Source organism: Homo sapiens, chromosome 4, assembly GCF_000001405.40.
Source record: "Homo sapiens chromosome 4, GRCh38.p14 Primary Assembly".
Lineage (NCBI taxonomy): Eukaryota > Metazoa > Chordata > Mammalia > Primates > Hominidae > Homo > Homo sapiens.
The window spans coordinates 9,596,372-9,620,761 of record NC_000004.12 but is presented as its reverse complement, the minus strand read 5'-3'; the positions used below and the strand labels follow the sequence as shown (position 1 = coordinate 9,620,761).

At 45.3% G+C, this 24,390-nt stretch overlaps 1 annotated feature.

Moving 5' to 3' along the window:
• Positions 18,086-18,604: an enhancer, noted in NCBI's record as "H3K27ac-H3K4me1 hESC enhancer chr4:9603782-9604300 (GRCh37/hg19 assembly coordinates)". NCBI's record gives its function as "activates a minimal SCP1, AML or CMV promoter by ChIP-STARR-seq in primed H9 embryonic stem cells {active_cell/tissue: H9 hESC(primed)}" and the evidence as "EXISTENCE:reporter gene assay evidence [ECO:0000049][PMID:30033119]".

The window sequence follows — 24,390 nt, the reverse complement described above, 5'->3', positions numbered from 1 at the left end:
TTTGAGTGAGTTTCCTAATCCTGAGTTCTAGTTTGATTGCACTGTGGTCTGAGAGACAGTTTGTTATAATTTCTGTTCTTTTACATTTGCTGAGGAGTGCCTCACTTCCAAATATGTGGTCAATTTTGGAATAAGTGTGTTGTGGTGCTGAGAAGAATGTATATTCTGTTGATTTGGGGTGGAGAGTTCTGTAGATGTCTATTAGGTCTGCTTGGTGAAGGGCTGAGTCAATTCCTGGATATCCTTGTTAACCTTCTGTCTCATTGATCTGTCTAATGTTGACAGTGGGGTGTTAAAGTCTCCTATTATTATTGTGTGGGAGTCTAAGTCTCTTTGTAGGTCTCTAAGGACTTGCTTTATGAATCTGGGTGCTCCTGTATTGGGTGTATATATATTTAGGATAGTTAGCTCTTCTTGTTGAATTGATCCCTTTACCATTATGTAATGGCCTTCTTTGTCTCTTTTGATCTTTGTCGGCTTAAAGTCTGCTTTATCAGAGACTAGGATTGCAACCCCTGCCTTTTTTTTGTTTGTTTTCCATTTGCTTGGTAGATCTTCCTCCATCCCTTTATTTTGAGCCTATGTGTGTCCCTGCACATGAGATGGGTTTCCTGAATACAGCACACTGATGGATCTTGACTCTTTATCCAATTTGCCAGTCTGTGTCTTTTAATCAGAGAATTTAACCCATTGACATTTAAGGTTAATATTGTTATGTGTGAATTTGATCCTGTCATTATGATTTTAGCTGGTTATTTTGCTCGCTAGTTGATGCAGTTTCTTCCTAGCCTCAATGGTCTTTACAATTTGGCATGTTTTTGCAGTGGCTGGTACCAGTTGTTCCTTTCCATGTTTAGTGCTTCCTTCAGGAGCTCTTGTAGGGCAGGACTGGTGATGACAAAATCTCTCAGCATTTGCTTGTCTGTAAAGTATTTTATTTCTCCTTCACTTATGAAGCTTACTTTGGCTGGATATGAGATTCTGGGTTGAAAATTCTTTCTTTAAGAATGTTGAATAATGGCCCCCACTCTCTTCTGGGTTGTAAAATTTCTCCCGAGAGATCAACTGTTAGTCTGTTGGGCTTCCCTTTGTGGGTAACCCAACCTTTCTCTCTGGCTGCCCTTAACATTTTTTCCTTCATTTTTTTTTTTTTTTCTTTAAGATGGAGTCTCTCTCTTTCACCCAGGCAGGAGTGCAGTGGCACGATCTCAGCTCACTGGAAGCTCCTCCTCCTGGGTTCACGCCATTCTCCTGTCTCAGCATCATGAGTAGCTGGGACTACAGGCACCCACCACCATGCCTGGCTAATTTTTTGTATTTTTAGTAAAGATGGGGTTTCACCGTGTTAACCAGATGGTCTCAATCTCCTGACCTTGTGATCCACATGCCTCAGCCTCCCAAAGTGCTGGGATTACAGGCATGAGCCACTGCACCCGACCTTTTTCCTTCATTTTAACTTTGGTGAAGCTGACAATTATGTGTCTTCGAGTTGCTCTTCTCGAGGAGTATCTTTGTGGCATTCTTTGTATTTCCTGAATTTGAATGTTGGCCTACCTTGCTGGAATGGGGAAGTTCTCTTGCATAATATCCTACAGAGTGTTTTCCAACTTGGTTCCATTATCCCTGTCACTTTCAGGTACACCAATCAGATGTAGATTTGGTCTTTTCGCATAGTCCCATATTTCTTGGAGGCTTTGTTCATTTATTTTTATTCTTTTTTCTCTTAACTTCTCTTCTTGCTTCATTTCATTCATTTCATCTTCCATCACTGATACCCTTTCTTCCAGTTGATTGAATCGGCCACTGAGGCTTGTGCATTCGTCACTTATTTCTTGTGCCATGGTTTTCAGCTCCATCAGGTCCTTTAAGGACTTCTGTGCAAGGGTTATTCTAATTAGCCATTCATCTAATTTTTTTTCAAGGTTTTTAACTTCTTTGCCCTGGGTTTGAACTTAATCCTTTAGCTCAGAGTAGTTTGATCGTCTGAAACCTTCTTCTCTCAACTCTTCAAAGTCATTCTGTGTCCAGCTTTGTTCCATTGTTGGTGAGGAGCTGCGTTCCTTTGGAGGAGGAGAGACACTCTGATTTTTAGAGTTTCCAGTTTTCTACTCTGTTTTTTCCCCATCTTTGTGGTTTTATCTACCTTTGGTCTTTTTTGATGGCGATGTACAGATGGGGTTTTAGTGTGGATGTCCTTTCTGTTTGTTAGTTTTCCTTCTAACACTCAGGACCCTCAGCTGCAAGTCTGCTGGAGTTTGCTGGAGGTCCACTCCAGACCCTGTTTGCCTGTGTATCAGCAGTGGAGGCTGCAGAACAGTGGATATTGGTGAGCAGCAAATGTTGCTGTCTGATCGTTCTTATGGAAGTTTTGTCTCAGAGGAGTACCCGGCCATGTGAGGTGTCAGTCTGCCCCTACTAGGGGGTGCCTCCAAGTTAGGATACTTGGGGGTCAGGGACCCACTTAAGGAGGCAGTCTGTCCATTCTCAGATCTCCAGCTGCATGCTGGGAGAACCACGACTCTCTTCAAAGCTGTCAGACAGGGATATTTAAGTCTGCAGAGGATTCTGCTGCCTTTTGTTTGGCAATGCCCTGCCCCCAGAGGTGGAGTCTACAGAGGCAGGCAGGCCTCCTTGAGCTGCAGTGGGCTCCACCCAGTTCGAGCTTCCCAGCTGCTTTGTTTACCTACTGAAGCCTAGGCAATGGCGGGTACCCCTCCCCCAGCCTTGCTCCTGCCTTGCAGTTTGATCTCAGACTGCTGTGCTAGCAATGAGTGAGGCTCCATGGGTTTAGGACCCTCTGAGCCAGGCACGGGATATAATCTCCTGGTGTGCTGTTTGCAAAGTCCATTGGAAAAGTGCAGCATTAGGGTGGGAGTGACCCGATTTTCTGGGTGCCGTCTGTCACCTGTTTCTTTGACTAGGAAAGGGAATTCTCTGATGCCTTGTGCTTCCTGGGTGAGGCAATGCCTCACCCTGCTTGGGCTCACACTCAGTGTGCTGCACCCACTGTCCTGCACCCACTTTCTGACACTCCCCACTGAGATGAACCCAGTACCTCATTTGGAAATGCAGAAATCACCTGTCTTCTGCGTCACTCATGCTGGGAGCTGTAGACTGGAGCTCTTCCTATTTGGCCATCTTGGCTCCACCCCCACTATTATGATTCCTACACAGAGTCCTTTGCTTTCCAGCAGCCTCCTCTCCCTCCTTTTTAGGTCGGAATCCCTCTATTTTAGTGGCCACTGGGAATCTGAAATGACCAGGTCTTTGTCTCAGAGACCTCACACATGCTGTTCCCTCTGCCTGGAACACTTTTCCTTGCTCTGGTCCCCTGAGATCTCTTTCAGCTCAACTGCCTCATGCTGTGAGAGCCCCTTTCTCCCTCTCTAGGTTGAAGCCAGTTTACCCCTGTAGTCTGTGCCTGGAAAACTCATTTTCCTCCTTGGTACCTCCCGAGCTGTCATAGGATGTATGTGCCTGTTAGGGTGTCTGGTGTCTGTCTCCCCGACTGGACTGCATGCTCCTGGTGAGCTGGAGGGACTGGACTAGCACAGGCCAAGTCCCTGGGGCTGGAGGGAGCAGGGCAGAAGGCACAGGCAAAAGGCCTTTGTGATCTGGGGGGAAGTGAAGGAGAGGGAGAGAGATGAGAGAGGCTGGCAGAAGATGGGCTAGAGGCCAGGCTGTGTGGGATCTTTTGGGCCACAGAAAGACATTTGAATTCTCATGTAAGAGAACCAGGACACCATTGGAGTGTATGAGTCACCTCATCTAACTGAGCTCTGTAAATGTCAATGTTTTATTATTTTTATACAGTTCTTTAAAAGTGATTTTAATTATTTACCTTTTTATTTTTATTACTTTTATTAGTTTTTCTGAGACAAAATCTTGTGCTGCTGCCCAAACTGGAGTGCAATGGCATGATCTCAGCTCACTTCAACTTCCACCTCCTGGGTTCAAGTGATTCTCCCGTATCAGACTCCCGAGTAGCTGGAGTTATAGGCGTCTGCCACCACGCCCAGCTTATTTTTGTATTTTTAGGAGATATGACGTTTCACCATGTCGGCCAGGCTGGTCTTGAACTCCTGACCTCAGGTGATCCACCCACCTCAGCCTTCCAAAATGCTGGCATTACAGGGGTGAGCCACCATGCCTGACCTTATTTACTTTTTTAAAAAAGATCAGGCCAGGCACGGTAGCTCACTTCTCTAATCTCAGCAATTTGGGAGGCTGAGGCGGGATGATCGCTTGAGGCCAGGAGTTCACAATCAGCCTAGGCAACATAGTGAGACACCCCTGCCCCAATCTCTAAAAAAGTGAGAAAATTAGGCACGGTGGTTGGTCTGTATCCCCAGCTACTGGGGAGCCTGAGGTAGGCAGGACTGCTTGAGACCAGGTGTTTGAGGCTCCACTGAGCTGTGACTATGCCATTGAGCTACAGCCTGGGCAACAGAGTGAGACCCCGGAGCCGCCTCAGCCTCCCTAGAGCTGACCGAGCTCTGCTTCTTATTCCGGGAATGACGGGCACTGGGGCTTTGATGGGTATTGGGTGAAATGGGCAGAGTGGCGCTTACCCGGGATGGCGGTGAAGTGGGACGGGGAGGTCATCGTGACAAGGGGCGGCATGAGGTACTGGGCCTTGACACCCTCCCTGGCCAGACGGTCCAGGTTGGGGGTGTGCATATTCCTGATCCTAGTCCCAGCGGAAGCCCTGGAAGGAGATCAGCAGCAGCTGTGTGTGCTCTTCCTCCCTGGGACGGGGTGGCCGCCCAGTAGGACAGGCGGCAGCAGCAGCAGCAGCAGCTGGAGGGCCCTGAGCCCTGTCATCCCACGAGCACCTGTTATGCACTCCTCACAGAGTTCATGGGCTTCTCCGTCTTTAGTCCGTTGTTGAACAAAGTCCACGTTAATAATTCGGCCCAACTCTGTTGTGGGACAAACAACCCGGAGTGTAGCAAGGTGCCGCATATTTGCAGGACAGGATGAAAGCGTTCTGGAGATGGATGGGGGACATGGCTGTACAATGTGGTGGATGCACTTAACACCACTGAATTTTTCCTTTGAAAATGGCTAAAATAATAGATTTTGTATGTATTTTACCACAATAAAAAATCAAACTGGCCGGACATGGTGGCTTACACCTGTAATCCCAGCACTTTGGGAGGCCGAGGCGGGTAGATCATTTGAGGTCAGGAGTTCGAGACCAGCCTGGCCAACATGGAGAAACCCCATGTCTACTAAAAATGCAAAAATTAGCAGGGCGTGGTGGTATATGTCTGTAATCCCAGCTACTTGGGAGGCTGAGGCAGGAGAATTGCTTGAACCCGGGAGGCGGAGGTTGTGGTGATCTGAGATTGTGCCACTGCACTCCAACCTGGACGATGGAATGAGACTCTGTCTCCAAAAAAAAAAAATAAATAAATAAAAATAAATAAATAAATAAATAAATAAATCAAACCATGTGAAATATTTTCGACTCATACTAATTCCAACATTTTGAAGATCTGGGGAGAACAAACTAGATTGGTGCTTTCCTTGGCTTAGTATGTCCTGTTTTTATAGGGAGAGCAAATTATTGTTCACCAGCACTATTAAAATAGCTACAACAGGATGGGCATAGGGGCTCACACCTGTAATCCCAGCACTTTGGGAAGCTGGGGTGAGAGGATCGCTTGAGCCCAGGAGTTCAAGATGCCAGCCTGGGCAACATGGTGAGACCCTGCCACTACCAAAAATACAACAACAACAACAAAAATAGCTGGGTGTGGTTGTGTGCACCTGTAGTCCCAGCTTCTTGAGAGGCTGAGGTGGGAGGATCACTTGTGCCCAGGAGGTTGAGGCTGCAGTAAGCTGTGATTACGCCACTGTACTAAGCCTGGGTGACAGAGTGAGACCCTGTCTCAAAAAAAAAAAAAAAAAAAGCTGTAGTGGACTCAGTGATCATGAGGCCAGGCACTGTACACATATACATCATCTCATTTAATTTTTCTCTTGTTTAAAATTATTTTTTCCTCTAATCCCCATGTGAATCAACATTTTCTTCATCCTAGGAATTTATTAGTTGAAAATTTCACATAAGAATTAAAAATTGCCTGGCGTGATGTCTTACACCTGTTATACCAGCACTTTGGGAGGCTGAGATGAGAGAATCGCTTCAAGACAGGAGTTTGGGCCAGTCTGGGCAATATAGTGAGAATGTGACTCTATAAAAAAATTAAAAACCCTGGGTGTGGTAGCGTTCACCTGTAGTCCCAGCTACTTGGAAGACTAGGTGGGAGGATTGCTTGAGCCCAGGAGGTAAAGGCAGCAGTGAGCTATGATTGTGCCATTGTACTGCAGCCTGGGTGATGGAGTGAGACTCTATCTATAAAATAAAAGAATAAAATTGTGGTATAATATATGCAACATTTACCATTTTGTGCATCTGAAAGTGTACAATTCAGTGACATATTGTACATTTATCATGTTGTGCAATTATCACCACTACCTAGTTTCAGAGCTTTTTCAACACTTCAATTGGAAGCCTCATATCCATTCAGCCGTCACTCTGCATACCCCCTCCTGCAGCCCCTGGAAACCTCTCATCTACTTTCTATCTCTGTTGATTGGCTTAGTCTGAACATTGCATATAAATGGAATTGTACAATATATGACCTTTCATGTCTGCTTCTTTCACTCAGCATGTTTTTAACGTTCATCCATATCACAGCATGGATAAGTTTTATTTTCTTTTTAGACCCTATCTAAACAGAAAAAAACATTGTAAAACAAAAACAAAAAAATATATACGATGGAGATCAGATGAGTCCTGCAAAGCTGATAGTATTTACTATCTAGCACTTTACATAGAAGCTTGCCTACCTCTGAATGATATGCAGGTACAGGGATGACATTTATCTTGGCACTTATAGAAAGACCTGGAAGTTGTATAAAGACGTCATCATTGGATTTCCAGTAACAAGAAGCGGCAAGACATGACGGTGTGTCCGGGTGTTCAGGTGAAGTTTAGGGAAGGTCTTGTCTTGACGAGGTCGGATGTGACACCCAGATGAGATAACCCTATTTCCCCTGCTGAAATTGCCTGAGAATTTCGTTCCAGTTATTTGCGTAGGTTGATTCTTTCGGTGGGGGTGGGCTGGGTGAGGAGGTGAAGTGTCAGGGGAGTTCTGTTGTGTATTTGCACAACTTGGCTTTCTTTTCACTTGGTGTGCTGTTTTGCTGTATGAGGAATTTCATAGAATTTTGTGATGAGTATGCAGCATAGTGGTTTGAATCCTGCCAGGCCGAGGGTCACATCTCAGCTCTGCAACTCATTTTCTGTGACGCCTTGGGGCAGCTCCCATCACTCTCCAAGCCTCTGTTCTATATTCCATGGGGTTATGAGGTTCAGATGAAATAATACATGCTGGCAGGAATGGTTACTGCTCATGGGATTTCCATGTGCTCCCCATATTCCCCATTCCCCCAATAGTTAGATGGATCCATGCCAGGGTCCAGTGCTCTATAAGTGGAAGTCACTGACATCACCTCTAGCCTACAGCTTTTGAGGGCTTGAGAATAACTATCTCATTCTCTCATCTCCTGATGCAGTAACTATGGGAGAATCCTTGCATTAAATGGTAGAATTTCCATCATTGAGTGTCCATATGGAGCACACCATACCCAGCCAACCCATTGTGGACATGGAATGTAAGAAATCAACCTTGGTTGCTAAGCTGCTGAGACTCTGGGGTTAATTTGTTACTGCAGCATAACCTAGTCCATCCTGACACATGCAGCATGCAAACCACTTATGTTGACCCTTAGTCCTGCTAAGTGCTCCACAGATGTTGGTTACTTTTGGTAGGAAAATAGATTGCCTCTGAAAGTTTTGTTAGCTGATCTCATGATGCCAATATTCCTATTTTGTAATTGGATAAATTGGACTTGGCTCTCCTTCCAGCATGTGGGAGAGACAGATGACTGAGAGAGAAGAAAGCACTATTATCTTCAGTTTGTGTCCTTGGATACCCTTGGTGGCAATGAACAACGTATGCTCCTCTGAGAAAACTGGACCTAAAGGAGAATGGGAGGTGATACCAGAATTGGAAATGTCCAAGGCCCCAGGCATTCCTTGGTCTGGAGACAACTTTGAGTCCTTGGTGGGAAGATTCTCCAAGGGAACATAAATGCTTTTACTATCTAGTTTGTCTCTTTGAGAATTAAAACTTTTTTTTTTTCATTCCAATAGCTTTTGGGGTAGAGTTTGGCTCTTTGAGAATTGCACACTAATTAATTTAGAGGTCATCCGTATACATCTCTATATTCCTGAAACACAGTAGAAACAGCCAGCAGTCAGGCAACCATCTACCACGACCACTAAAACATCCCCGAAGTGAAACACCAGATGCGATCCGCTGGGTTTAGTGGAGGTGGCTGGCTCAAGAGTAGATTATATTCATTATCGTCACTGTGGTGATTGTGGCCACAACATTGTGATGCGTCTTGGTCTTCTTTTGGTGAGTTGCAGTTTGGAAGGAATAAATCCATCATCATTATTATTATTATTTTTTGAGTCTCACTCTGTCCCCCAGGCTGGAGTGCAGTGGTGCCATCTCAGCGTGCTGTAAACTCTGCCTCCCAGGTTCAAGTGCTTCTCCTGCCTCTATGGCCAGGCTGGTCTTGAACTCCCGACCTCAGGTGATCTACCTGCCTCAGCCTCCCAAAGTGCTGGGATTACAGGCGTGAGCCACCATGCCCAGCCCCATTATTCATTTAATATCTATTAAGCACGTTGGGTGTGGTGGAGGATGAACTGCAGGGAGGGAGGAAGCCTCCACCTGCCACTGTTTTAAAGTTGTCCTAATACTCCACCATGCAACACGCAGGCTTGTGGGTCCCAGAGTTCCAGAAGCATCTCCCAACCACACCATCCTAACCCAGATTCTATTGAAAAATAAGTGAGTCTAGCAGAGCCATCTCTGACACTTCTCTTCTTTTGAACGGCCGATCTGTCAGTCATGGGGATACCTTATGAAAGTGCAGTGTTTTGTGAAACTTGAGGTTGATAAGAGAATACCATTAAACTTTAAGAAATCTACATATTGATGACATAGGCAGTGGGGTGGAGGTGGGGAAATTCCCAAATACATTTTAGGAATTATCATCTCAGAAGGAGGTAATAGTCAGAACTCGTTTGCCAGTGACAGAAACTCATCTTACTAGTGTGGAGTGGAAAAGAGATCATGTTTTGGTCTGCACTCCCCAACCCCAACCCCAAGCAGATGCTCAAAGAGGGACAGGATTGCAAGTTGTTTATTTAGGAGATGATTCCAGGGAACACCAATAGGGGAGTGAGGAAATGATTCATGGAAAGGCAGGAGGCCACACAGGGGGCTTCAGTGAGCAGTTTACCACTCCAGGCAACCAGGATTTGACCCCACTGGGGACCTCTGGGAGGTGATGTGGAATACATTTCAAAGTTGTTCCATCCAGGGCGCAAAGATATTGAAGGATTTATAGCCTGGTTCCCGTCCATCACTGGCTGAGGACTGGTCCCAGGGCATTAACTCTCTGGCTTTTCTTTTTTTTCTTTTTTTTTTTTTTTTTTGACACATAGTCTTGCCCCGTCACCTAGGCTGGACTGCAATGGTGTGATCTGGGCTCACTGCAACATCTGTTTCCCAGGTTCTAACAATTCTCTTGCCTCAGCTTCCTGAGTAGCTGGGATTACAAGTGCCTGCCACCATGCCCTGCTAATTTTTTTGTAGAGACGGGGTTTTGCCATGTTGGTCAGGCTGGCCTCGAACTCCTGACCTCGTGATCCACCTGCCTCGGTCTCCCAGTGTTGGGATTACAGGCATGAGCCACTGCGCCCTGCTTCTGTGGCTTTTCTGACATACTCCATGCCTAATTTTGAGAAAGCCCTCAGGTGAAAGTCTTGGTAGTATGCAGTAGCAAGCATGTACTAGAATGATAAAAACCAAGGGGCTTACCACAAGATCTCTCTCTCCATCTCTGTCTTTAGCTTTATCTGCATCCTGGCTTAATTTCTTCTTACTCAAGCCTTTTCTCCATAAGGCGAGAAATGTGGCCACAAAAGCTCCTGTATTTCTCACTACACACAGTTCCTGTCATCACAGAGAATGATTAACTTGGTCTAGTTCCAGTTTGGAAAAATATTCAAGGGAAGAATTCTGATTGGCCAATTTAGGCCAGATGCTCATCCCTGGACAAATCAACTGAGGCCAGAGGGATAGAGTCATGTGAGAACATGGCAGCCCCCATGAGAGCCAAGTGACTGGAGTAGGAAGTGTGAGTTTCTATAGAAGGGAGGGCTGCTAGGCTGAAAAGGCAATAGATGTCTGCAGTGAAAGGAATAGATTAGGAGATACATTCTGTTAAACCTGTTAATTATTAAAAAAAGAAACTTTCAATATACAGTTACAGTATACGTGGGCCAGTGACTCAAGCCTATTATCCCAGCACTTTGGGAGGCCGAGGTGGGCAGATCAGAGGTCAGGAGTTCGAGACCAACCTGACCAACATGGTGAAACCCCATCTTGTGTGCTTGTAATCCCAGCTACTCAGGAGGCTGAGGCAGGAGAATCGCTTGAACCCAGGAGGCGGAGGTTGCAGTGAGCTGAGATCATGCCACTGCCCTCCAGCCTGGGCAACAGAGTGAGACTCCGTCTCAAAAAAAAAAAAAAAGTTACATTGTGGTTCCCTCAGCATGATTTATCAGAAAGGAAAAGCTTACCATATGCATATTTCCTATGCACAGGCTACTGCTATGAATTCAAATTCTTAAATTCCAAAGATTATTTACAATGTTTCTGAAGATAAACTGTGTAAGAATCTGCATATAATGAGGCTGAAGTTGAGTAAGAAGAGAACTGGCATTTAGGACACTACTTTTCTTCTGTCAAGTACTGTCAAGTTTTGTTTCTGCCTGGAAATAGATGCACCTCAAGGGAGGGTTGCATGTAAAGGTGTGTGTGTGTGTGTGTGTGTGTGTGTGTGGTGGTTTCCAAAGATGGGTACAACTTTCTGCAAATGCTCGTGCAGTGTAACTGAACCAATCTTTCCTTTAAGAGGTAGAGCTTATATTCCTCTACATGAATCTGGGCTGCCTATGAGTTGTTTTGGCCAGTGGAATGCTGCCAAAGTGATGGTGACCAACTTCTAGCCGTGAAAGGAAAATAAACCTTGGGGCCCCAAGATCACTAAGCTAGGTCGGGCTCGGTGGCTCACGCCTGTAATCCCAACACTTTGGGAAGCTGAGGCAGGCGGATCACCTGAGGTCAGGAGTTCCCAGCACTTTGGGAAGCTGAGGCGGGCAGATCACCTGAGGTCAGGAGTTCAAGGCCAGCCTGGCCAAATTCACAAAACCCCATCTCTACTAAAAAATATGAAAATTAGCCAGGAGTGGTGGCAGGTGCCTGTACCCCCAGCTACTCGGGAGGCTGAGGCAGGGAAAATTGCTTGAACCCTGGAGTTGGAGGTTGTACTGAGCTGAGATCGCACCACTGCACTCCAGCCTGGGCAACAGAGAGAGACTCTGTCCCCCCTCCCAAAAAAAAGTTACTAAGCTAAAGAGAAAAGTCAAGCTGGGAACTGCTTAGGGCAAACCTGTCTCCCATTCTATTCAGTCACCCCTTTGCTCACTGAGATAAAAGTATATCTGATTGCCTCATTTGGAGAGGCTAATCAGGAACTCAAAAGAATGCAACTATTTGTCTCTTAACTACCTATGACCTGGAAGCCCCTCCCCCGCTTTGAGTTGTCTCACCTTCACCTGGAGTTGTCCCACCTTTCCTGACTGAACCAATGTACATCTTACACATATTGATTGATGTCTCTTGTCTCTCTAAAATGTATGAAACCAAGCTCTGTCCCTACCACCTTAGGCACATGTTGTCAGGACCTCCTGAGGCTGTGTCACAGGCGTGTGTCCTCAACCTTGGCAAAATAAACTTTCTGAATTAACTGAGACCTCAGATTTTTGGGATGCATATAGTCTTAGGCCTTGACAGGTCTCTCGTAGTTTCCATATTTTTGCCCTCTTGGATGCTGGCACCAAGCAAGCCTTGGCTATCCTGCTTAAAGGGCCATTTGGAGAGGGGCTCTGGAGGGTGAGGGGGCCACATGAAGGAAAACAATGTTCCCCTGCTGACAGCCAGCACCAACTGCCAGGCACATTCGTGAGGCCTTCCTGGATGTTCCGCCCAGCTGGCCCTCCAGCTGCAGGTAGCCACATAAATGAGCCCAGGTTAAACCAGACAGGAAGTCCCCATGCAACTCACAGGGTCATGAGCAATAATGCCTTGTGGTGGTTTAAAGTTTCTAATCTTAGGGTGCAGTAGGTAACTGAAATAGCCCACAAGGGCTGAGCCGGTGGAGGGTGCATTTCCCACCTGCTGAAGCTTCTCAATTCCCAAGATCCAATCCGGATAAGACTCCTGTTCTCAGTGTCCTTGATGGAAATGGCAATGAACTTTTTGCGTATTGGACCATCTCAGGGGAATCCCAAAGATCGGAAATTATTTTCTTTCTTAGAATCTTCCACACAGCATTGAGCCTTAGGAATTTCTAAGAAGGATCTGGAATGAAAAAAATCTTTTGAAAAGGTATTTATATAGCTTCACTTCAGCAAGATTCATGGTGGGTGTTAGACTGAGTGCTGGTGATAAGCCAAACCGTGTTTTTCGAGGACTTATCTGGCCTCAAGGTTGGCAGGATCAGAGTGGCCTCCCAGGATCTATCACATCCTCAGAAGAGTTGGTTCAACTGGCATGTACCCAGATCTCTTTGAGCTAGTATGATACTCCCTTGAGTCAAAGGTTGCCACATCACATCTCCTTTAAGTCCCCCAAGTACGACCCCAGAAGCACTGACAAAATAGTGCTATTCCTGAAGATTTCAGGAGGACATAAATGAAGAGATTAAACTGCAAGGTACCAAAACTTCCATCTTTGCTAAAGACCCTCATCCAAGGCACTGTGGCTCATGCCTGTAATCCCAGCACTTTGGGAGGCCAAGGCGGGCAGATCACCTGAGGTCGGGAGTTCAAGACCAGCTTGACCAAGATGGAGAAACCCCGTCCCTAGGAAAAATTCAAAATTAGCCGGGCGTGGTGGCACATGCCTGTAATCCCAGCTACTAGGGAGGCTGAGGCAGGAGAATCGCTTGAACCTGGGAGGCGTAGGTTGCGGTGAGCTGAGATCATGCCATTGCACTCCAGCTGGGCAACAAGAGCAAAACTCCATCTCAAAAACAAACAAAAAACTCTTATCCAATGGTCATGCCACTCTATCTGGCCATGTAATTTCTCCTCCTGGCTTTCTGTAGCAACAGCCTTCTGAGGAACCTCACTCTGCCTTTCAAAACCCCTTCAACTTGTACCCTTCATCAACAAAGTATTTAGCTCAACATGTATGCCTCTGGGGAACTCATCCACATGCCGTTTAAGGATATTTACGGCAACATCATCTTCACTTCCCCAGGACAGCATTTTAGAGTGGATTACGTGCCTGCTGGATGTGTTGTACTTAAGCGAGTTAGAGAAAACGCTACACTTTGAGACGAATTAAGAGTCTGTTTATTTAGCCGGCGCCTAAGAAATGGCTAACGTTTAAAGTTCTCTCGGCCTCGAAGGGGCTAGATTTTCTTTTATACTTCGGTTTAGAAAGGTGAGGGGGGTCTAGTTAAAACAATTTTACAGAAGTAGGCAAAAAAGTTAAAAGGATGTATTGTTACAGTAAAGTAAACAGTTCTAGGTCTAGAGGCTTTAAGACTCTTACAAGGTGATAGACGTGGGGCTTTGGGCGTTATCAATCGGATGAATTCCTGGGAACTGCGGATATTGCTCGCCACAGTATCTTATCAGTTAATTGCATTCTTCGATGTGCTGGGAGTCAGCTTGCACAAGTTAAGTCCTTGAGGAACGGGCTACCAGTGAAAGAGCCAAGATGGAGTCTGTCTGGCTCTCTTAGCTAAGGGAGAGTCAATTCAGGTGGAAACAAGGCTAGGTCATTAAAAGAAAGGGAGAGTCTAAGGACAGGGTTAATAAAAACAAGGTTGGGCATTACATTCCTCACTTGTTTTTTTGGGGAATCAAATCATTGATTCTTCATTTATAACAAGGGGTTATATTGAGTCTTCAGATACATAAGTTTGACAGAAGCTATGCGTTGTTTTACAAAATTAAGACACTAATTTAATATACAAGGCCCAAAAATTAGACTTAATAGTAGGATGGGGAGGGGGTCCGGCTAACTTAGTAATTAGAGTAGTTAGCTATGGGTTCCAGTTGAACATGCTTTGATACTAGATGTTATTTTCTTGTTCTTGTTGGCGCTTGTCTAGATTTTCTTGCACATTTTGGAGTGTATGTTTTATGACTAAGAATGGTGGAGGAACAGTTAAATCAACTTTTTCAGGGTATTTCTGGAACATAGGATTACTTAGTTCAGTTAAAGGCCTGATTGGCTTGGGTGGACTTTATGAGACTAGGGTTTTTTGGACAGTGAACATAGACTTAACATTAAATCCTGGGATATAAAATCTTAATTTCGTGACATACCATGATACTATTGAGTTGAATTAAGGTCATGGACAGTTACAGTAAGAGGATTACAATTTTTTCTAGTACATAATTTAGGATGAGCAGCAGGACTTATGGAAACAGTTGAAGATCTGGTTGATCTTTTAGAGTAGCTGGCTAAAGTTACACATGTCTAACCAGGGCAGAAAAACTGATGAGCATCTTGACAGCTAGCGTCAGGGTGATTTCTAGGACAGAGGTAAAAGTCAATATTTTGGAGACTTTTTTCTACACTTTTGGAACTTCTACATTTAGTTTGGCTCTTGGAGTGTCTGAATCTTGCTGCAAGGCCGACACTTCCTGCTCCTGGGACTGGCAGATTGTGTTGCTTTTCGTGGGTATGGGCTGGCTTTGGGAACAGTACACATAAATCAGCTGCAAAGGAGACTTCCTTGGAGGTACTGGCCTTCTAAGTGGTGTTTGCAAATACACATCCTGTCATGAAAGAGGTGAGGAGAAAGGAGTAGGAAGGCACAGAGGACCTAACTGGCAAAAACAAATAAGTGAGGTAGATAAAAAGAATGAATCTAATGGCTTCACCTGACTTAGGCACAGTTTTAAGGGGCCTGACTTAGGCCTGGGGACTTATGTTTTTAGCTGGGCTCTGTTGGCCTTTTTGATGTGGGAGTGATTAAGCAGGAATGCCGTCTACTTTCAGAGCAGTTGGAGTCATGAAGTCTTTTCTAAGCAGGAGTGAGTCTTTCTTTTTGGAACTTTTAAACAAACACTAGGTCTCCTGGCTGGAACGAATGGTAGGACTTTGTCAGGTCAGGAATTGGATTGGGATGGGCTCCTCAAACAAGTGGCAGGATGATCTCTTGTACCTGTTGGAGAGACTATAGGTACTGTAATAAATTAATTTGTGATATTTCTGCTAATTTGGCATCTCTTAGCTTAGACAAGATAGGCAGCGCCTTCTTATACATGATTTCAAAGGGTGAGAACTTAGCCTGATAAGGGGTGCACTTTACTTTAAGTAGGGCTAAAGGAAGGAGACTTACTTAATTTACACTGGTTTTTAAGATCAATATTGTAAGAGTGTTTTTAATGTGTGGTTCATGCGTTCTACTTGCCTGGAGCTCTGAGGTTGATAGGCACAATGGAGTTTCTATTGAATGTTTAACGCCTTACTGACTGACTGAGCTATAGGTGAGGTGAAGGCTGCTCTATTATCAGACTTTATGGCAGCAGGCAGCCTATATTGAGGGATGATTTCATTGAGTAAAAACTTAACTACTGTGTTGGTGGTTTCGTTTTCGGTAGCAAATGCCTTAGTCGATCTGGAGAAGGTGTCTACTAGTACTAGAAGGTATTTGTCCTTAACCTGGTATGGTTTGACTTCTGTAAAGTCAATTTCTTACTTTTTTCTTGACGAGTTTTTTCAGAGACAGTGGCCTGGGCTGGGTTTAGGACTTTGTTTGGCTTTTACGTGGGCGCAGGTTGTGCACTTGAGAGCTGCTTAATCTGTTAGGCTTTGAAGACGGGGGATCTTAAAATGGCTCCGGAGGAGCTGAGGTAGCTTTGCTCTTTTTAAGTGGGTGGTAGACTGTAGGTGGCTGATTAAAGTTTCTTTAAGAGTTCAGGGTGTGAAGATTCTAGAGTCAGGAAGAATCTACTAACTTTCCTGATTTGTATTGGCTCTGAGATCTGAAGCCAGTTTTTTTGTTGTTGTTGAGTATACGGGATTGTCAGGCAGATCTGGCTGTGGAAAGGAGACTGTGGGCAGCAAGTTTAGAGGCGTGACTGAAAGTCTTGCTGCGACCTGAGCTGCTGAATCAGCTTTCTGGTTACTATGGGCTACGGCCGTGTTTTCTTTTTGATGTCCTTTGCAGTGGATCACAGCTAGCTGCTGAGGTGAGTAGCCTGCTTTCCTGGTAGATGGCTTTATGTACATGCACAGTAGCAAAGGCGTACTTGCTGTCAGTGTAAATGTTAATACGTTTACTCTTTATCGGAGAGCCTGAGTGAGGGCGATCAATTCAGCCTTTTGTGCTGAGGTGTTCGCTGGTAAAGCTTGAGCTTACAACACATCTGTCTCCATGGTAACAACTGCACTGGCTTTTCCTACTTCCTGCTTGAGGAAGCTGCTACTTCTGTGAACACGGCGGCATCTGCCTTTTCTAGGGGCACAGCTTGAAGATCAGATTGGCCAGTTTCGATAGTTTCTAACAGTTCTTGACAGTCATGAGCAGGAATAGTGCAGTCTGAGTCGGGAAGTAGTGTAGCTGGATTGAAACACTTTGTGGGAGAGAAAGTCAAACGAGGCTGATCTAACAGTAAACTTTGATACTGTAAGATGCGAGCATTTGACATCTATTTGCCAGAAGCACTTCGTAGTAAGGTCTTTATGGCTTGAAGAGCTGTAAGGGTTAAATTTTGGCTTACAGTTAACTTACCATCTTCTTGGACTAGGCTTGCTGTAGCCGCTATGGCTCGCAGACAACTTGGCCATCTAGAGGCCACAGGATCTAGCCTCTTAGATAAATAGGCCACTGGGCGTCTTTAGGGTCTTAGAGTCTGAGTAAACACGTCTTTAGCAACTCCTTGGCTTTTATGGAGATATTAGGGAGGGCTAAAGCAGGGGCTTCAGTTAATGCTAAATTAACGGGCTATTTCATTCTGTACTTCTTGGATAGCCGCCACTAAGATTTTTGTTTGTCTTTTGAATGCTTTATCAGCGGCCTTTTCAGCTGCCTGTGTTGCTTGTTTTTGTTTTTTTAACCTTGTGATTGTCAAAAGCTTTTTGGGCTATTTCTAAAAGCTGACAGATATTTATTCTAGCAAATCTTTCTAGTTTTTGGAGTTTCTTTTTAATATCCGGGGCTGCCTGAGCCACAAATGCTAAATTAAGAGCACGGCTATTTTCTAGAGCTGCCGGATCAAAAGGGGTGTAAATCCGATAAGCCTCCTGGAGGCGCTCTAAAAACGTTCTTGGTGACTTATCGGGCCTTTGGACAACTTCGGTCATCTTAGACAAGTTTATGGGTTTCTGAGCGGCTCTTTTAATACTCGCGAGGAGATACCGGTGAAAATCGTCTGAAGCTCTCTTTCTACTTGAGGAATTTGGGTACCAGTTGGGCCGGGTAGACGGAAAGACCTCCTCAAGGAGGTCTCTAGCTTCTTCTTCCAGTCTATTGGCTGATGTGAGGAAGTACTTTTTGGCTTCTTTTCGGATACGTTCTTTCTTTTCAGAGGTGAAAAGGGTTAAAAGGAGCTGTTGACAATCATCTTACGTGGGCGGGTGAGTCCGGAGTACGGACTCTATCAGAGAGGTCAAAGCCTGGGGCTTTTCAGAGAAGGGAGGATTATGGGTTTTCTAATTATATAAGACAGAAGAAGAAAAAGGGTCATAAACTAAGAAGGGGGCTGAGCGCTCGTCACCTGGAGGGACTTGTGACTCTCTCAGTGGTAGTAGAGGGGCTACTTCTTCCTGCCGCGGTCGCGATTGAGAGGCAATGGGTGGCGAGCCTACAGGGGACGTCCCCGAGGAGACATGGGATAACATTAAGGGAGCAGGATGGTTGTAAGGCAGTGGGACTGGGTGAGGGAGACTCTCCTCTTCTTCAGAGGGAGGCAGTACGGGGGAAGCCGAACCGGCTGAGGATCGAGGCAAAAACGCGGTCTGGCTCAGGCGGAACTTGGAGGTAGAATTATGAATGGCGCATGAGCGGAGCCATGGAGGGGGCTCCTGACCAAACTTAGCTATTGATCAATGTAGGGAAACTGATCAGGGTAGCTAGGATTTTTAGTAACAACCTGCCACACAGCTTGTGAGGTTCAATGACCCTTCAGGGGGCCACTTGACTTTACACTTTGGCCATTTTATTTTGCAGAGTGTCTGGAGCTTGCCTTTTTTAAGGCGGTCTTTATAATCCTCTGAGAAACTGAAAGGAAAATTCTGCAGCACACATTGGAGAGGGCTTTAAATTTTACAAGGCTGGGAGGAAGTGTTTATTTTTTTTTGAAGGCAATTTAATAAGATTTGAGCATAGATATTAAACTTAGCATGGACAGAGAAACTTATTTCTTGGCGGAATGGAGTATTGAAAGAACAGAATCAACATCACTAGAAAGAGCAGAAAAACTACAACAGCTAATACTACTTGCTACACTACTGTAGCTTTAATATTGAGGGAGGAGGACTAGAGACAGCCTGAGATCTTCTAGGTCAGTTTGATCTAGGCGTTCTTCTTCTTCTTCTTCTAGATCTGTACCTTAAATACTTTTGGTGTCTTTATGACTTAAAGGCAAATAGCTTAAACGTAGCTTTTTCTTTTAAGGGTTTAAGGAGTGAGAGCAGAGCCAAGTCCTGGAGATGCTGAACTTCTTGTCGCACTGGAAAATGAGATGAGTGGGGTAGGGGGCAGGGATGAGGCAGAAAAGGACTACTCAGATCATTTTCAAGATGGGAGAGTAGCCACAGAGGAACAGAGTAAGAATCTAAGCGAAGTAAAGCAGTACGGGCTTACGTTTCTTTACACAGTGTTCTATTTAAGGGCACAGGAAAAGTTACAGAATGACAAAAGAGGTGAGCAAGGAAATCTGCAGGGTGGCTGTTTTGAACTTACTACTGGTTTACTTTAGAGGAGGTCTAATCACTTGGACGTGGGGTACGACAATCTAAATACTTACAACTTTCATGGTGCTAGAAATCTTAATCAGGAAAATGTTTTTCACACTTGTTCTTGTAACAACACTTGACTTCCTTCTGGCAGAAAAGACAGGACTGTGGTGGTCAGCCTAAATGATTGATGAGAAATTTAACATCCTGTGACAAAAAATCAGCACTAAGGACTTTGAAGAAGTTTTTACTTAGACGTCTTGGGCAATATCACCGTCTTGACATGAAAACTTTCACAACTACTAACAAGACAATAGACACTGAACAGAACAAGCAACATAATCAATTGACTTTAGGGCATGTAAACAGTTATGACAGTTTGTCCCTTTTTTTTTTTTTTTTTTTTTTAGACAGACAAGGGGAGGGGGTCCTGTGATGGTATCAGTCAGATGCCTGTCTGGCCACTCCCGCTGAGGGGACTTGGGCTCCTCTTAGCATTGGCAGGCCGGTATAAACTTCCACCTCGGATCGAGCTGTGCCTGATGCTGCCTTAAGCCTTATGAGGTCGCCACGGAACCGCAGGTGAGGGCCCACTTGAACTCCGTAGCTTTCACCGTGTAGCTACAAACTGGAGGACAAGCGCAAGCCCTTGTCCTCCCTCATTCATTCATTATTCACACAGAGTTTATAACAGTTTTTTTTTTTCTTTCTTGGAGATTCTTCAAGAAACTTGAACAAGAGAAAGACTAGAGATAGGAAAAGAGAGAGAGAGAGTGACTGGCCTGCCAGAAACCAGGACTCAGTCCTCCAGCATCCTGGGATGTGGACTGAGTCAAGAGAGGGTCCCTGTCAGGGCCAGTTCCCTCCTAGACAGAGACACAGAGGTGCCTAACAGAAAACCAGAGCTCTACCTTCTAGCGTCCTAAAGAAACGGGCAGAGTCAAAAGAGGGACGCCCTCATCAGGGCCGCTTCCCTCTTACTAGAACTGAAGTCAGATCTGACCTACCTGACCTTGGGGTCAGAAGTTGAGGACTCAGAGGTGGAATTTTTGTGGGCACCCACACAGTAGTCGATCCGCTCTCCTTTGGAAGATGGTCACCTTTCGGGGACCTGAAAATTTTTTTTCAGGTGGCGCCCCCGCTACAAGCCGGCCGTCCTTCCGGGGGAGCCCGCAGCAGGCCCGGAGCTAACCCGGCTCTCGCCTGGTGGCGTTTCTTGCTCGGGCCTCCAAATGTTGTACTTGAGCGAGTTAGAGAAAATGCCACACTTTGAGGTGAATTAAGAGTCTGTTTCTTTAGCCGGCGGCCAAGAGACGGCTAATGCTTAAAGTTCTCTTGGCCCCGAAGAAGGGGCTAGATTTTCTTTTATACTTTAGTTTAGAAAGGGGAAGGGGGTCTAGTTAAAAGAATTTTACAGAAGTAAAGTAGGCAAAAAAGTTAAAAGGATAAATTATTACAGGAAAGTAAACAGTTCTAGGTCTAAGGGGTTTAAGACTATTACAAAGTGATAGATGCGGGGCTTTAGGCATTATCAATCGGACGAATTCCTGGGAACTGCGGATATTGCTCGCCACAGTATCTTATCAGTTAATTGCATTCTTAGATGTGCTAAGAGTCAGCTTGCACAGGTTAAGTCCTTGAGGGAAGGGGCTGCCGGTGAAAGAGCCAAGATAAAGTCTGTCTAGCTCTCTTAGCTAAAAGACAGTCAATTCAGGTAGAAACAAGGCTAAGTGATTAAAAGAAAAGGAAAGTCTAAGAACAAAGTTAATAAAAACAAAGTTAGGCATTACAGATGGGGTCATCCTTATATTCAGCACAGTGTTTGTCCTGAAACTTCAATGGAGTGCTCCTAGTTTGATAACTTGGGCCATGCCAGATGCTTTGAATTTCTCTTTCTTAACAACAGATGTTTGAATACAGCCCCGTGTCCCTCTCTGCTCCTTCCTGCCTTCCTCCTCTCCTCTTCCCTCCCTTCCTTTTCAAGAGCAGGGTTTGCAAACTTTTTCTTGAAAGCATCAGATAGTAAATATTTTAGAATTCATGGGCCATACAGTCTCCTGTAGTAGTTACTCAACTCTGCCACCCATAGCATGAAAGCAGCTGATATAGGTTGATTATGTGTCCCCACCCAAATCTCATGTTACAATGTAATCAACAGTGTTAGAGGTGGGGCCTGGTGGGAAGAGATTGGATCATGGGGGTGCATTTCTCATGAATGATTTAGCATCATGCTTTTGGTCCTGTCCTTGCAATGGTGAGTGAGTTCTTGCAAGATCTGGTTGTTTATGAGTGTGTAACACCTCCCTCCTCACTCTCTTGCTCCCACTTCAACTTCGGCCATGATTGTAAGTTTCCTGAGGCCTCCACAGAAGCTCAGCAGATGTCATTGTCATGTTCCCTGAACAGCCTACACAACTGTGAGCCAAGTAAACCCAGTGTCAGGTATTTCTTTATAGCATGAGAGAACAGCCTAATCCAGCAATCATAGACAATATGTAGCAAATGGGCATGGCTGTGTTTCGATAAAACTTTATTGAGAAAAACATGTGCAGGCAGGTCAGATTTGGCCCATGGGCCATAGTGTCCCAACCCCTGCTCTGGAATATTCTCTTCAGCCTGGATGGACATCTCTAGGTTTTTTTTTTTTTTTTTTTTTTGAGACAAATTCTCACTGTTGCCCAGGCTGGAGTGCAGTGGTGCAATCTTTGCTCACTGCAACCTCTGTCTCCTGGGTTCAAGCAATTCTCCTGCCTCAGCCTCCCAAGTAGCTGGGATTACAGGCGCCTACCATGACACCTGGCTAATTTTTGTATTTTTTAATAGAAATAGGGTTTTACCATGTTGGCCAGGCTGGTCTCAAACTCCTGACATCAGGTGATCCACCCACCTCAGCCTCCCAAAATGCTGAGATTACAGGTGCCCACCACGACACCTGGCTAATTTTTGTATTTTTAGTAGAGATGTGATTTCACTGTGTTGCCCAGGCTGGTCTCAAACTCCTGATGTCAAGTGATCCACCTGCCTCGGCCTCCCAAAGTGCTTGGATTACACGTGTGAGCCACTGCAGCTGCCCTCTAGATTTTTTTTTTTTTTTGACCATTGCTTATTTGGTTTGACTTTCATTTTCTTCCCCATTGTGGTAGCCATTTTCTGAATGCCTGTTAGTTTACCCGCCTCCCTCCTCTGTAGTCCCTGGAGTCAGATGAACTCCTCTGCAGGTGCAATGGTGTAACACTCTCTAGTGCTGAATTTCCAGCAGGAGAAAAAGAGCAAGAGTGACCAGCACCCTTGGAAACTCTGGCCTACTGAGAATTTGGTGGCTTCTCTGCAAAGGTTGCAAACCTGTTAACCCACAAGCCAGAGACAGAGAGAAGCCAGAAGCATGATCTGTTAAGCTTGAGCTTAATATTTGATGCACAGAGATCACTGTGTTTTTTGATAAGAATTAGAGGGAAAGACATGGCCACAGAGAACAATTTCTATCCCCAGGTGAGGATTCAGGAGATAAATCTGTGAACAGAACTTCCTGAGAACTGAGATAAGGGAAATCGCTAGTGTTAGAGGGGTGAAAAACTCAGTAATTAAGGCTACGACTGTGCTCTGAGAGGTGAAAGGAGAAAATGAGACTGCCAGGCGTGAATAATGAGAAATCTTTGATGGACTTAGCTGTGCAGAACAGATACTAAATGCATCCTCATTCTTCTCATAATCAAAAGTTTTTGCTTAAGCTGGATGGGAAAAAGAGAATCCCATTTCACTAAGTATAAAAGAGGGGATCTTAGAGAAGGTCTCAGAAGAAAGAGATGTGAGGGTTTGGTGAAACTCACCAGAGGCTGAACCCTCTCCAGCATAACACAGGGATTGGGAGGAGTGGGGTGGCATTAGGCCAGGTGCATGGCCCAGTGCTGCTCTCTCTGGACTTTTTGCTCTCTCTGGACTTGTTTGCTAGCTGAGCTCATCCATTTGCATAATTTTCGGTGCCATTTCTCAGCTGATGAGTCCTGAACTTTTGTCTGGAGGCTAAACTTCTCCTTCAAACAGCAGTCTTAAACACGCAACTTCTTTCTTGTTTTTTCCACTTGTCAACTCATGAACACCTCAACCTTGTTACATCCAAAGCCAAACTCATGGCTTGGAGTGGTAGGTGATGGCTGTAATCTCAGTGCTATGGGAGGCCGAGGTGGGAGGATTACTTGAGGCCAGGAGTTTGAAGCCAGCCTGGAAAACACAGTGGGACTCCCTATCTACAAAAAAAAAAAAAAAAAAAAATTAGCTAGGCATGGTGATGTGCATCTGTAGGATCTGTAATCCTGCTACTTGGGAGGCTGAGGCAGGAGGATCACTTGAGCCCAGGAGTTTGAGGCTGCAAAGAGCTATGATTGCACCAATGCACTCCAGCCTGGGTGACAGAGCCAGAGACCCTGTCTTAAAAAAAAAACCCAAAGCCAAACTCTCTTTTTCCTCCTCCTTCTCCATGGGCTCTGTCCATGCCATCTCTGTTCTGTAAATGGCACCACCCCCTGCTGAGCTGCTCAAGCTGGTCATAACTCATGTGTTGTGCTAACTCTGCTTTTGCCCTCTTCTCCAGTCAGCAAGTTCCGTGATTCTAAACTTTATCCAACGTGTCCACTCTCTCTATCCTCATTGTTGTTATCTTTGCCTAGGACACAGCTATCCCAGCTGGGTTACAGCAGCAGCCTCCTAACTGGTCTTAACTGGTCCTCTGCACCTGCTCTCCATGCTCAGCAATCCATTTCCCACCTGGCAGCTTCAGTGATCTTAAGGTGTCCATTGAGTCTCATCTCTGCCTTTCCTGCCCATGGCACATATAATAAAATCGAGACCCCGAGTCTTCTGCCTGTTCCTGCTGCCTCTCCAGCCCTCTCCTGTCTCCTCCCCTTGGCCTACTCTATTTCGGACACTCTGGCCTCCTTTGTTTCCTTGGACTTTCAAACCTTTCTCCACAACAGGGCCTTTGCACTTGCTGCTTCAGCCTGGAATGATTTTCCTCTGCACCTCCCCAAATTAGACCATCCTTTAGGTCTCAGCTAAGATGGTGCTTCCACAGAGAGCTTTTTCCTGACCCCTTTATAAAGTGGACTTCCTTGCTCTTCTCCACCTTAACCTCTTATTATTTCTTGTTGTGGGAAGTCAGGGACCCCAAATGGAGGGACTGGCTGGAGCCACGGCAGAGGAACATAAATTGTGAAGATTTCATGGACATTTATCAGTTCCCAAATAATGCTTT